The sequence below is a fragment of the Homo sapiens genome, chromosome 1 (assembly GCF_000001405.40).
Source record: "Homo sapiens chromosome 1, GRCh38.p14 Primary Assembly".
Taxonomy (NCBI): Eukaryota; Metazoa; Chordata; class Mammalia; order Primates; family Hominidae; genus Homo; species Homo sapiens.
In genome coordinates this window covers 244,048,465-244,063,272 of record NC_000001.11, presented here as the reverse complement: position 1 = coordinate 244,063,272, position 14,808 = coordinate 244,048,465, and the positions used below count along the sequence as shown (strand labels likewise).

Sequence of the window (14,808 nt, the reverse complement as noted above, 5' to 3'; positions counted from 1 at the left end):
TGAGCCTTTGTGAGCCTCTAAGCAGAGAAAAAGTCATCTATAAAATGATAGTACCAAAGGTTTGGGGAAGGTATGAAATGTTTGTAAAGAGCTTTGAGCCGCTTCACCTCCCCATGCCTGCTCCTCCACTTTCAGGATGAATGAACCGGAAGTCACTGTTGCCCCTTCCAGCTGTAAGTTTTTGTGACTTTCAATCAATCACTCTCTGTGGAAAAGCACGTGATGCGGCAGTCTGTAAGCGGGGATGATCAGACATATACTGTAGGTCTACAAATAATGGAAAACAATTGGGCCATGCTGGCCACTGGATTTTTATCATTTGAATAACAGAATTAGTTCATTATTTCAAAAGGGACCAGGCCAGAATGTAAATTTTAAAATTCAGGATACAGATGTAAGCTTGGAATTGTTTTTGGTTAGAAGGCTTAAACGTTCTGTTACGTTAGGAGAGAGAAAAAAAAGCATATATGTACTACTAAATAAGAATAACAATAGGAGGATTGATCGCCTTAGTCTTTGAGGGTGTTACTTGACTGACTTTTAAACAGAAACACTCCAATCATTTAAAATCCTTCCATACTGGTCAAGCCTACAAACCGCCTGTCATACTTTGACTAAAATATTATTTTTACTGCAAGATAAGCACCTTTACAAAGCAAACTGAATACATGATGACAAACCCTCCTTTCCTCCCCCTTTTGCACAGAAGTGATTCTAGTACTGCTTTGAGGCATCCCTCAAGTAAAATAACATATAAATAGAATGTGAGAAATCACCACATTTTCTAGACTTCACACTTACTATGAAAAGCAAAACTTCATTGTGACCCAACATATTCCCTAATTTATTTTTTTCCTTTAACCTAAGGATTTCATCCAATTCGATGTCGTTTATTGTCATGAGCCCCTGGAAAATGCCTCAGCTCTTTCATCTGCATGCTCAGCCCTCCCTCAGTGGGAATATGCAGTTTGCTGGTACCCAGTGGTAAATAGGGCCCATTTCAAATACAGTGTTCATTTTAAATTTGTTTCGATTTTTTCAGAATGGTAGAAAGTCAGACACAAAAACAAACTTGGCTTGAAAATTCAGTTGTGCAATGGTGTCAAAATCACTTGATGCATAAAATTTACCCTCCTATAGTAAATAAAAGGACATTGAGAAACAGAGAGAACTGACTATAAAGTATGAATTTTAGTTTTCATCTCAACAAAAATCAGAACCTAAAGGAATATTCCATCTGCCAGACTTCAGTTTCTTTCGGTTTATTCAGTTGCAAAGTCTTGGAGATTTTGAAGAGATCTTAAACAAATTTTATGCGAAGGGCTCGTGGATAATGACTATGCTTTGAATATAAACCTGTCCCATTCTCCCTCATCACATGCATAAGCATGAGACCTTCTTTCTCAAAAACAGGTAGTTATAAGAATAACTTTTATAAATTAGGTTTTCTTGAGCTATGGTTCTATGCTCAAATTTCTTCTACTTCATAAAGCTTTTAAGTGACACTCAGAAACCATTATAATTAGAAAAAAATAGATTTTTTTAATACACTAAAAACAAATCGTTGGCACCAACGTCTATGGTAACTATGGTTCACAAACAATGACTATTTTTCTTAAATGTTTTAATTACCTATTAGTGTACTATTGTGCTTTTCCAAAAATTATCCAAATACACATCCTTAGGAAGCATTGCTGCCTAGTAAACATGCAGTTGGCATTTCAATATTACCAAACAGCTAATTTACATGATATAGTTCCAAAGACATGGTCCACAGAAAAGGTATGTTTATATTTTGAGGCTGTTTTCAAAAACAAATTTTAAGAGAGTCAGATGAAAAATCTAAATGCTCTTACTTTGATCAAAGATCATTTCAGAGCATTAGACATACAAAAATATTTGGGTCTTTAAAATCCTCTCAAAGGTAAACTGCATTAAATATGATTTTTAAGATAAAATGAATGTGTCCTGTTTTACAGTTTTAAGTAATATATATTTATAAATCATACACGATAAAGATCCATCCTTGTAAGCTGCCACATATCAAAAGTTAGCTCTGGTTTGGCATATAGCATCCATAAATAAGGTTATGCTATTCTTTCAGGTTCATACCACTGTAGATGCATTATGTATTGAAACAACACATTTAATCTGTCCTATAAATGTTTACCAATATTCAAATACGTTTTCCAAGCTCCACTTCATATTAACTACAAATATACCCTTTACAAACATGAATATTTGGGGCAATATGACTTTTTAAAATTCCTATGTAGTCATATTAACCATACATATTGACATTTAATAAAAGCTACTTGATTTAATGATTAACTAAAGAGATTATAACAAACTGTAAATAAGTCATTTCCGTGAATGGACTCTCTCTGGGTGTCACACGGCCTCTCAAAGCCACTCTAAATATCCTCACTGAAACTGTTACTGACTAATGTGCTACATTTTAAAGCCAAATTGGGTTTTCACTCCTTTCTTGCCAAACTAACTAGAGAATGCCTCCTATAGCAAATTGCAAGCTTGACTGCAAACCCATTTCCAAAGATTAGAAAAGGGAGATACCTTATTTGGCCATATGTGCCCCAAAAGTCAAGAAAAATTTTGGTTTTCAAAGAATATATATATACATTTTTTGTGAAGTACCTACAGCTAAAGAAAAGTACCATGATCACATAAACCTAGGAATTATGATGCACAGTACATTAGTAAATGCTAGAATCAAATCAGGAAATTTACCTGGATAATTCATCCCTCTCAAAAAAAATGCTGATTTATTGCAAGTACTTAAATATTTTTAGACAAATACTATCCTATAAGCCTGAATTACCTGGATGATTAATTCAACAATTTATTTAGTGTAAGCAGATACATTATAAAGTATTTAGACTTAAAAAAAAAAAACAACTTTTCATGCCATTGTTCCATTTATATGACCTCATCCTTTCTGATTACAGTGTTTTAAATTTGGAGTTTAGCTTCTTTCACAAGAAATTACAAAAGTTAATTAGTAAAGATTTTTTTAAGGGGTTGGTTCACAAAAATACTGAAAGTCCAATTTCTAAAGTGCCTCTGAAAATGAATTTCTAAAAACCTCCCGTGTCATCAATAAGATCTGATTACTTTAGCTATCCTTTTATAATATTAAGGAAATGTAAGCAAGGGCGGAGGTCCTAGAAGCATAAAATGTTTCTTTTTTATGGAAGTAAACCTACTCGGAGTCAAAAGATAAACGGTTCTACATTTTAAACCAAGGGATTATATACAAAGATATTTTGCCGTGTTTTTGTAGGCAAAGGTACAAAAATTTTAACATAAGGGACAAAATCCTGTCAGTATAATAAACTTGGACTACAGCCAAAATGAAACTCCTAAAAGCTATTCGCTTTTAAAAAATAAAACTATTCCTTTATTTTTAAAGATGGTATCTTTAGCATTTTAATGTCAAGTAATTTCAGTGAAAAGGACGGAGCTTTTCTTTGCCGCATTTCAAATTCACACTCAATTCACTGTACCTTATCAGCAAATTCAAGCATTGCAACAAACAATTATAACAAAAATTTAGGTCAGTATCTACAAATTAAAATATAAAATTATCTCAGTTTCCTAGTCAGAGCATGTGAAACTTTCCCTCGTTATAGTGGAAATCAAAGAATGTTTTAAGCTTTATAGGAATAAAATAGTCATGCCATGCAGGAAATTTTGAGGTCTTAAGACCATTAAAAAAAAAATCTTATATGTACAATGGGATTTCTTGAGTCAAGGCTTCATGGAGTCAGTGAGTCGGTGTGTGTTTTATACGTAACACTTGGAAGTTCGAGATTTTTTAAGTAGTGCCACTTCTTGGTAAAAAAAAAAAAAAAAAAGATTTTTTGATGGTAGTTAAAAAGATTTACTTGGAAAATGATTATTTTGGCCATTTTAACTGTTCTAAAATGTTAATATAGTATTCCCCTTTTTCCAACCTTTCAATAACCTATTTGTAGATATTCATAACAAATGTTAAAGAAAAACTCTATTTGATTCACCTATTAATCTGATAGCATAATTAACCAGAAAGGAAATCCGAAACTAGTATCCTTAACACTTTATACTTCTTGGATCTTCCCTAGGGTACCCCTAGCACACAATGCTGAACCCACATCAATCCAGTGCATAATTGATTATCTAAAGGAAAAAGAAGTTTTCTAAAGTAAATAAAACTACATATTTAAAATATACTATGTATCAGCCAGATGTCAAAGGAGGGATCAGTTTTAATGGTTTCCAACATGATCACATGACAAATTAATTTCCTTTTTTAAATGTGGCAAATAAATGATTCCTTCATTTCACTTACCAAATGTGGCAGTTTGTGTAATTAATATTCTGTTCTAGTTTTGCAAAGAATGTTTTAAGAAGTTACTTCTTCCAAATCATGTCAAAATATTATTTTTATAAGTATATCCAGTTAAGATTGTTAAGATAATGTTCCTTACTTAAAATTAGATGTTAGTCCACAGAACTAAATTCAAGTAAACGCTCAGCATCTTCAGGAAGCTTTGAGATACTCTGACCAGTTACTATAGGAACTGAAAATAAAAAGTCCCCCTCCCTCCCCTTTTTGTAAGCTTGTAACTGCTCAAGAAATTATTCTATGGGGGTCAAATGTACATTCCCCTTTCATGTGAAACAGTATTTGGCTGGTTAAAACCAAGGATGAGTTACATACTTTAAAAATTGTTTTAGAAAAAAAAAAAAAAAGGCAGGGGGATGGAAATTAGGATTCCAAATTATGTTATTATACTTCATGACAAAATCCCTGTGGCTTCCTATCCAAAGCCACCAGGTAGTTGGTAAATGGTCCATTTTCAAACTTCAGACCTTATATCCCACTTCTGTAGGTTAAAAATATTGACCTTACTATAGGCCACTGAATATAAACATAGTTTGACAGTAATAATGTAAAATTTCATAGTCATATTTCTATTTAAGGTTGGAAGTTAGAGACAAGCACGGTTTACAAAACCTCTCCATGCCTGCACCTGACTGCTTGAGCTTAGGGTTGTTTGTGACAATTCCTCTACAGTATCATCCGCATGTGTGAGTGTTCTGTCAATTCCCTACCCAGGTCAACCAGCAATGTTTCTCACCCTGACATGTACCCAACTAGATAAGCATGAAGTTGGGACAATCATAAAAAGTAGGGAACAGAGTTCTTTTAATGGTCCATGTATTTAATTACATGTTTAAATTAAAACTTGAGAATTAAAACCTAGAAACTTTCGAGTTCTCCCAGCAACAAAAAGGATGTATATAGCTAATCGTGAACAATTGCATGCCTGCTAATTCAATTGCCTAGAATTCCAGTCATTAGCCAAGCAGTCTTCCAAATTAAAACATCCGGTCTCCTTCAATTTTCCACTTAAACCAGAACACAGGAGAATAGATTTGACCGATCAACTTAGGATAAAATTACACACGAAAAGTGACTTACGGTATATGGATTAGTAGTTGTACAGTGTATTTTTAACAACCTATGCTGCCACGTAGTTTCATGATTCATGAGTTTCTAGGGAATTACCTCAACATTCTTGATGTAGATTGTGAAAATGGGTCGCATTTTTTAAATGTGCATTTAGTATCTTCTTAAGTGACTAGAATGCTTACACATTTTCCACTCGAGTGATTTAAGGCATTCTAATAATTTCATAAACTCCGAATAGAATTGATATTAAAGATGCCAGGTATGATACATATTTAGAATCTATACACTACATAATCACAATAAAAAATACACACAAGAAATTCTCAGTTCATATAATTTATTGCAGTTAGCACACAGTTTAAAAATTCACCAACACACCAATAGTACAAAACTAAACAGCATTATAAGTTATTCCCCCTCAGGAAAATAAAACATACTATGATTGTCAAAGCTAGATGTCAGTCTAAGTTTTAGAACAAAGGAAGAATGTGAAACTAAGAAAAGGAAAAAGCAATCACTCACAATGACCACAAAAAGAAAATCCAAAAGAAAGTCCGTTTTCTCACAGACATTGATTGTCTTCTCTAAATTAATAAAAATTATTTTAACATAAACTGTATTTTAAAAAAACTAGAAACTCTTCAAGTAACTAAAGATAATGCTCCAAGGCCATTTTCACAGCTTTTTTTGTTTGTTTGTTTGCTTTAAATGCCATTACAGCCAAATTAACACACATTTAACCAAATATTTCCAAAACAGTCCAGCAACACACAATGGAGTTTTCCATTCAGTATCTTAAGCACAAAAATAGGCTATGTTTACAGTAGTTAAGGCGATCAAATTTTAAACAAAAGCAATTAAAAAAAAAAGGGAAAAACAGCAAACGTTTTCCATGCTACTCCCATAGACCTTATTTGTAAGTGCAAGACAGGAAAACAAACACTGTGCAAAATGCTTTTGCCTTGCGTGCTGGTCATTAAAACCACACGTTAGGCTGCAGCCTCTGCTGCCGCAATCCACATAGTCTACTAACCCCCTTCCCCATGTCAATCAAGGCAGTCCAGTCCTTTCAGCCTGGGGCTTTTTCAGTCCATAGAATCTTTTCATGAGTTGGGGGTGGAGGGTGGTGGTGGGGGGGGAGAGTAAGGGAGGGAGGGTAAGGAGGAAGGGGAGAAAAAGAAAAAGGGAGCAAACAAAAAAAAAGAGAGAACGACCTATTGTCAACTTGTGCAGTAGTTATTCTAAGAACGCTCAACTGGGTAAATGTGTACACCTAAACTCTGAGCTGGCATGGGTTTTGTGCAATTAGAAGTTTGTTATAAATGCACACTGCACATGCAAATCTTTAAGCTGTTTGTAAACATTTATATTTTCCTTGTTATGTAGCGAAGTTATCAATTTGCAGCTTAAGTTTTTATTCAGCTTAACAGTTTCAACTTAAAGACAGTGGGAAAGTCAATTTAAATTATATAAAATAAAAATAAAAACAGTGCATTTACGTTCTTCATAACACCAGTTTTTTTTTCCAAATGGTGTTATTTTTCTAAGGAAATTAAATAATTTTAAACTCACTCGTTAAAGTTATACAATGCAAACAAAGACAAAAAATATATTGAAACTCATGCATTTCTGTAGCGTTAATATTTACTTTTCAAGACTCAACTAAGAGCATCAACACAACCTGTCAAGTTCTTTGACACCCCCCCAGCCCATGTAATCAATTACAGTATACAATAACAGTAATTCACATTTTTAAACACACAGTTCAACACTGCTGAAGCTGCAATATCCTTTTTCATCCCAAGCAAACCTTCATAAGACAGTGTCCCAGTGATCCCAGTGTACTTTCAGCATTTCTCTCACTGGGAACTGTCAGAAAACCAGAAGTTGCCACAGAAAGTTTTAAGTCAACTGCTTGTTTAAAAATAGATAATCCAGCATTTCAGAAATTTTCCATTTGGGTCTAAAAGCATTCAGGTTTCCAACAGCCAGAAAAAATTCATGCAATTTGAGACATATAAAGAGGCTAATAAAACTGGAGGGAATTTCTACTTAAAAAAAAAAACAAAAAACAAAAAAACTTTGTTGGGGGGGAAAAAAGAGCTCAAAAGACAATGCAGTGTTGACAAAATTAAGCCATATGAAAGCATTTTGTGACAGGACGATTTGTTTAAAAGGTTCTTATTGGCTTACTTCCCCTATCCCCTCAAAGGAAAAACACCTCTCTATTCTGACTTGCTCTAAAGTTTCTTTTATCAGAATGCTAAATTAGTGAGATTCTCATGCTATTCTAAAGTGCAAAAACAAGTTAATATCCCAACTTTTTATTTCCAGGAAACAAGACTGCTTTTAGACCGTACCACAACTATATAGAGATCTATTTATATATATGTATATATATATATATTATTTATATATATATAAAATTATTTCCAAAGTTCTTGAGAGCTATCTTCTAAGGTCCAGTCTCTGACAGTAGGCAAGCTCAGTGCTTCGCTTTTGACCGACAAGGAGTTCACCAACTCACAGTGGAACTTGCGAATGTGTCTGTACAGGTCCCCGGACTGCGTGAACCTGCGCTCGCACCACTTGCAGGCGTGCGGCTTCTCGCGGGTGTGCACCACGGCATGGCGGCTCAGGTTGTGCGAGTACTGGAAGCTCTTGCCGCACTGGGTGCATGTGTAGGGCTTCTCCCCCGAGTGAGTCCTCTCGTGGCGCTTGAGGGTGTACATGCAAGAGAAAGTCTTCCCACACAGCGAGCACGTGGGCACGTTGACATCGGCGGCGGGCTTGCTGCGGATGCCGTCCTGCTCGCGGAAGTGCGTGCTCAGGTGGATCTGCAGGATGTGGGGGCTGGGGAAGACCTTGTTGCACAGGGGGCACATGAAGATCTGGCCCGCGGGGCTCAGGATGTTGGAGACGTAGGGGAGCAGACTGCTCTCCATGCCTCCCTCCACCTGGACACGCTCGCTCTCTGGGGTCATCATCTCATCATCACTGGCTTTGTCCTCCCGGTCCAGCTCCCTCAAGACCGAGTCCTCCCTCAGGGGAGCCAGATGGGCCGGCTCATACTGTACCCTGTTATTAGTGCTCACACTTTCTTTCACAGTGCTATGTTCCATGTCATAGTCATTAGTGCCAACATCACTCTCATCACAGGAAGCCTCTTTCTCCACCTTCACCTGCACCAGGTTGCTTCTCAGCACGTCCTGTGAAGAGAAATAAGAGCTGTTCAGATTTTCAACTCCTGAAAGGCTGGACTTGACAGACAGGTCCAGCACACAGTCAACATCTGCCGAATCCCTCACGGAGGTGACAGACCTCTGGGACAAAGACTCTGTTGAGCTGCAGGGGCTGGCTACTGTTTTTCCAGCTGCTGTGGCGTGTGGCTCTGCCTCTCCGCCAGCCTGGGGGATGCCTGCTGAGTCTGAGGGCAATCGCATCCACATGTTCCCAGGCTCGGCCGCCAAGTCCCTTTTGCTGGGCAGGATGTTCAATTTTTCATCTTCTCCTTCATCTTCATCACTGGGCAAATCGCCTGCTATGTGGCTGCTGCCATCGGAGAGACTCTCGACTTTGTCCGAACAACTTGAAGCATCTTCTTCCTTTTTGGTGCTGTCTGCCTCCGTGGTGGCTTTCTCTTTCAGCTTCTTTTTGCAGACTTTGACAATGTCATACATGTGGAGATAACTGGCAGCTGCTAGCACGTCTTCAATGGGCAAGTCTTTGAACTGGAGTTTCCCTTCATACATGAATTCAAGCAGGAGAGCGAAAGCGGGGGCTGTAACAATGTCGCTGTTCAGATGAACAATGTCTCTTTTGTCCAGCTGGTCCTTGTAAAAGAGGTGGAAATACATGCTGCATGAAGCCAGTACAGCTCGGTGCGCTCGGAACTGGGCATCTCCCACCAGAACAGTGCAGTCACAAAGAAAACCCTGGTGTCTCTGCTCGCTCAGACACTGTAGCAAATGTCTACTATGGTCTGGAAACTCCATACTGTCTTCATAACCTGGGGAGAGAGGAATTTCTCATTAGAGCCTGGTCAGGAACAACTTTTCAGCGCTCCAGTCCCCATATAAAAAAATTAATTCCGCTTTGGCCGCCGTGGTACATGTCCCTGAATTTTAATCAGGCTTATGACCCAAGCACCACCAAATCACACGGACAAGACCTAAATGCCAGAAGGAAAATGCACACTTTCTGAACTTCCTCACCCCCGCCAAAGAGCTTCCGACGCATCTCCATCTTCCTTGAACCCAAGTTCTAAAAGCCTTCCTTTAACTACAGTCTCTCACTAAGAATAAGAATTTAGATCTCTTCCAGAAGAAATTTAATTAACTCTACTTATCAAATTATGTCCCACAAAACCTACAAAATAGCTTTAATTTCAAAGGGAACAACTCATATAATAAACAAAGAAAAGTCCCAAACATATCCTGGAACATACAAGAAAACTTGTTCAACCATCCTTTTTATTACTTTTGCTACCTGACTGTGCTTAGAAAGCACAGTTTAAACACACACACACACATTTGGCTGAATCAAGAAAAAAAAATGAAATTGCATAATTAGTCCAGAAATTAGCAAACAACTTACTTTTAAAGTCAGGGTGTTACAACAAAAGCCCTGTGTATAAAAACAGATGTTAATGCCTTCAGATTTGCAGGTATAGCACACATGTACGAGATCAGAAGGAGCTGCACCAACAGATGGAAAAGATCATCTTTACTATGAACAAATCCAAAGATTTTTCAAAACGAACTGAGAAAAAAGTAGTTACATTTCTTTGTAGAAACTGTACTTTCAGAATATTAGGAACCAGAGGGGCTTTACTGAACTCCGAAAATTCTCATCTAAACTTTGATCCGTTGCAAGGCAAAATGAGTTTCATATTGAAATTAATTCAAACTTTTAAAAATAAAGGCATACAGCGCTTAAATAAAACTCAAAAGCTTTACAGGTTCAACGTTTTTTTTTAAGCCTTTTTAGAAAAAGAGAACCTTTTTTTTTTTCCTGGTTCTGCCTTACCTCAGCCAACAGAAAATACTTTGTTTCAATATAATTTGATATATTTCTGTTTTCCCACTAGCTTCTATTCTTGCAAATATTCATCATTGCCCTTGTTTTGTGATGAGGGAAAGTGAAATGGAGGGAGGAGAAAGGCAAAGATGTACAAAGGGTCAGAATTCAACTGCAGTGGGTAAACTCCTGAAAAATAAAGAAGACCCGACTTCCCCTTTCCTGTGACCAGAAGCAAGCCTCCACACCACCCATCTCAGCAAGTGCATTTTGGGAATAGATACACTTAATTTAATATTCAGAAATTACTTCCTTTCTTCTTGTTCTTCTACACTTTGCCCAAGACAGACTAAAACTTTATCCTAACCCCAGACACATTCTGCAAGATGCCACTGCTAGAATAAACTAAGATTTACAATACAATCACTTTAAGTGCCCCACAGCTAACATCAATCCTAATCCTTGAGAAGGCTAAAAATAAAGATTGGAGGGCAGCTCACAAGGTAGCCGTGATCAAATTAGGAGGCTGAGAGGACAGAGAGGGACGAAGAAGGAAGCTTATAAACATCTGATCCAGCTGACTGTGGCCATATGGCAGCTGCTGCCCAGATAAAGAGATTAAGAATAGAGGAGTGCGATTACAGCTGTCTGGCCAATTCAGGCAGCTCAAATCTACAAGTTCTAAATTAGTCGCTAACACAAAAACTCCTGCAAATAATTATTGTTATGCTGAAATAAAAGATCTCTTAAATATATATTTGAAAGAGAAATGAGGAAACCAGTCAAACTATTCTCCTGGGGACAAAAGTTTGGTTTTTTTTTCTTCTTCTTAAAAACCTGCAGTTTCAACAGCACTACAGCTGTATGTTTCAGTAGTGCTGCTCAATGTTTTGAAGAATAAAGTTTCACAGAGGAATTAATTATACAACAATCTAGCTGCTTAACTAGAATAATCTTCTCATATAAGTTTGAATGCTGGATTCCAGTTTACTATTTCCCCACCACCACCACCCCAATCAAATCTAAATAGCAGTGAACAACAAAAAAGCATTTTAATCCAACGTGATTTCCAAAAGCAGCATTTTAAAGCCTTTCTTAACATTTCAAAACTTGAAATATTTGTGTATTAAAGTTATTTACTCGCTCAAGTAAAAGGGATAAAAAATTAAAACTAAACAAGCTCAAGACTTTCAACTCCAGTAAGATGTTCATTTAATACTCAATTTCATATATTATTCCTAAACTGGGTTAGAAAAGTAATGTGATTTTTAAAATTAAATAAACAAAACACCAAAACAGAAATATGCTCAATCTAATCTCTTGCTACTCCTACCTTTAGGACACATAAACCTGATTAAGTCCTTTCCTCTGAGTCCTGCTGGCTCCAGGTCTGTTACATCGGTGGAAAAAAAGCAGACTAAGAGAGACAGATGCAAAGTGGAGATGATGTTAGAGAGGAATGAGATACCTTCTCCACCACAGATCCGCACACACTAACTCCCTGTCTGTGTGTTAGAATAAAAGGCTGAGGGATGGCAGGCTGTCAGCTGCTCTGACATCATGTTCAGATGGAAATGCTACCTCCAGCTGTGCTCCTTTTAATGCCATATGCTACTCCTCTACACTCCTGCCACCAGCTTTTTCTTAGGAGAACTTTTCTCTTCTGTTAGTATAAACAAAATACTTCAAAGTCTTCCTTTTTTTCCAAACTTTCTAACAGAAGAAATTGAAAAACTCAGCATATGGAGTTCTACTGTATTTATGGAATAGCAACACTTCTGTCTTAAGTTGGTGGACTGGCTTACATACTGACAGCACACTCAAGCCACGGTGCTATTCAGGAAATCCAGATTCACTTTTATTCAACTCCAACGTTTAGTTTCTAAAGCAGTTTAGGGATATTTTTAAACCAACCCATTTGACATCTCCAGTCCCATTTCAACATTATTACCGCACTTTTTTATTTTTTTCTGCTGAGATAATGGTATACATGTCTCAAATGTTGGCAGACTTGTTCAGAACTATTACTTCAGACTGGTTCACCTTATTATTTCACTCTTATGTAATTACTTATCTACAACTACCTTCTCAGAAAAATTTCTTACACTGCCACAGTCAATGCAAATTTCAATTCTCGGTACCAACAAGCTGAAACTGCACTTTCTGAAATCCTGGAAAGTACTTCAGTTCAACGAGACCAATTAATAAACTGATACAACCTGCTCCAGTCACTTAAAATGAATGCTGCACCTGCATATCTGATCTTTCTGCTCAGAAAAAGCAGAACCTTGCCTTCCCCTTGATCTGTGTCCCTTAACAATCTTTTTTTTCTTTGGGGGGGGGTCACTCTAATGTTTATGATCACAAGAAAATCTTTGTGTGGGGGGAAGCCAGGTCTAGTAAGTTTGAGAACTTTTCAGCCAGTTTGTGGGTCTTTTCTAATAGCTGATGAAACTGTAACGCGACCCGGGCTGGGCTGACCGGTACCGGGCAGGGTGCTGCGACATCTCTGAATGTCAAATACATCTCCTCAGACTCTTGGGAGGGCGAGGGGTAGAAAAGGAACTGGGGCCTGAGGCGCCAGCGTCCCAGCCCTGGTGATAACCACTTCGTTCCCATTAGAAAGCCGTGGCGGAGAGTTAAAGAGTAACAAAACCCGACGACTCCGTCCTGTCCTTCTCGCTTTCCCAAAGTCACAAACCTAACTTTCTCCAACTTCGCGGTGAGTGACATAATTATGAACACTTAGTCCAGGAGACATCCTCGGGAGATCAATTTCTTCCCAGCCACACCACCTATTCTCCACAAATGCCCTCGACCCATTCCAATATATCAGACATTAATCACCCCATTTACCCAGTGGGGTGGGGGGTGAGTGACAGTTTAATGAGTCCCGGGCACCGCAATGGGCCAGCAACTCCCACTCCACAAATCAACCCCTTCACGTCTCGCTACCGCGGATCCATAGAGGTTTTGTGAGGTTGGGGTTTTGTTTTTCAGAGAGGTGGGGGCGGGGGTGCCGAGTGGGGAAGCAATGCAAATCTTTACGTAGTTCGCCGTGCATAAAACACACGGGGAAAGAGGAAGGTTAAAACCACAGGGAAGGAGGTGGAGGGCGCAGAGCCGGTGCAGCAGGAAAACACCTTAAACAACAGAGGAGAAAACAGACCCGGGTCACGGCAACAACAAAAGAAAAGTCGTAAGAAGCAGCCAGCGGGAGGAGAGTGGTTGCTACCGCTTCCCCGATGCCGCGACGCGCGAGCCCCCGGGGCCTCCGGGCAACTGCACCAGCCCGGGAGGGCCCCCTCCCCCGCCGGCCCCCTCCCCCGGGCGCCACTGCAGCTGCACCGGTCCCCGGAGCCGCGGCCGTCCCGGGCGCCACTGCAGCTGCGGCTGCTCCCAAGCCCCCTCCCCCAGCCCGCCGCCCTCCGCACCCGAGAGGCGCCACCGCAGCTGCACCGGCCGGGAGCCCGCCCCGCGCCGCAGCTGCACCGGCCCGCGGGGGCGCGGCGCGGAGCCGGGAACCCGCACCCCGCCCGACCCCGCAGCTGCAGCGGCCCCGTCCCCGCGCCCGGGCCTCCCGCAGCTGCGCCGCCCCCCGCCGCCCCAACAGCTCCAACCACACAAACTAACTCCACTCGCGGGGGCGCCCCCGACCCGGCCCGCCCTCCGCCCGCGCCGCCCAGCCGGCCGGGGCCGCACAGCTGGCGCCCCCCGCCCGCCGGGGTGCCGGGGCGCGGAGGGGGCGCCAGGTCAGGGGCCAGGGGCCGGCGCCGGGACTCACACGGAGCGGCCCTAAGTCACCGCGTCCCCGCCGCCGCCGCGTCCTCCGCCTCCTCCTCCTCCTCCTCCCGGCCGCCGCCGCCGCCGCCGGACTTGGTGGGCTTCCTCCGGCTCTTGCCCCCCTCCCTCCCGGCCCCCCCACCCCCCAATCCCGGCTCCGTCGCCCGCTCCCCCCCGCCCCTCCCTCCCGCCCACCCCCGCTGGCAGCCGGAGGAGCGCGGCGGAGCGAAGAGGGCCCCACTCTCAACGGCTCCCCATGGCAGCAGCCCAGCGGCGGCCGCAGCCTGCCAGACACAGCGAGGGAGCGAGCGAGGGAGCGAGCGCGGAGCCGCCGGGCCGGGTGGGGGGGCGGGGGCGGGGGGGGGGCGGGCGCGGGGGAGGGGGAGGGGAGGGGGCGGGAGGACGCACCACGCACGCACGCGGCGGCGCCGGCCAGATGTTCCCCCCACCCTCAGTCCGCCCCTCTCCTTCCCCTGCCTCCCTCCCTCCGGGCGTTGGGCTTCTGCGATTGACCGAAAGCGGCTGGACCG

The 14,808-nt window shown here is 41.1% G+C and overlaps 1 protein-coding gene across 9 annotated transcripts, besides 3 other annotated features; it reads right to left on the bottom strand.

Annotated features, from left to right (window-relative positions):
• Positions 5,797–14,782, bottom strand: ZBTB18 (zinc finger and BTB domain containing 18). 9 transcript variants are annotated; one of them, XM_017000060.2, is made up of 3 exons: positions 11,829–11,990; positions 10,073–10,173; positions 5,797–9,485 (listed from the first exon to the last, which is right to left on the bottom strand). In XM_017000060.2, the coding sequence occupies exon 3, from the start codon at positions 9,469–9,471 to the stop codon at positions 7,903–7,905; it is 1,569 nt and encodes a 522-aa protein (XP_016855549.1). In that variant the 5' UTR covers positions 9,472–9,485; positions 10,073–10,173; positions 11,829–11,990; the 3' UTR covers positions 5,797–7,902. The 9 variants fall into 9 exon arrangements, with proteins under 9 accessions (XP_016855549.1, XP_005273063.1, NP_001408495.1 ...); XM_005273006.3 differs by having other exon boundaries at positions 10,073–10,102; NM_001421566.1 differs by lacking the exon at positions 10,073–10,173 and having other exon boundaries at positions 5,797–8,685; positions 8,798–9,485.
• Positions 10,714–11,215: an enhancer, noted in NCBI's record as "NANOG hESC enhancer chr1:244215360-244215861 (GRCh37/hg19 assembly coordinates)". NCBI's record gives its function as "activates a minimal SCP1, AML or CMV promoter by ChIP-STARR-seq in primed H9 embryonic stem cells {active_cell/tissue: H9 hESC(primed)}" and the evidence as "EXISTENCE:reporter gene assay evidence [ECO:0000049][PMID:30033119]".
• Positions 12,662–12,751: a silencer, noted in NCBI's record as "silent region_2012". NCBI's record gives its function as "represses an Ori minimal core promoter by ATAC-STARR-seq in GM12878 lymphoblastoid cells {active_cell/tissue: GM12878}" and the evidence as "EXISTENCE:reporter gene assay evidence [ECO:0000049][PMID:35858748]".
• Positions 12,932–12,981: an enhancer, noted in NCBI's record as "active region_2832". NCBI's record gives its function as "activates an Ori minimal core promoter by ATAC-STARR-seq in GM12878 lymphoblastoid cells {active_cell/tissue: GM12878}" and the evidence as "EXISTENCE:reporter gene assay evidence [ECO:0000049][PMID:35858748]".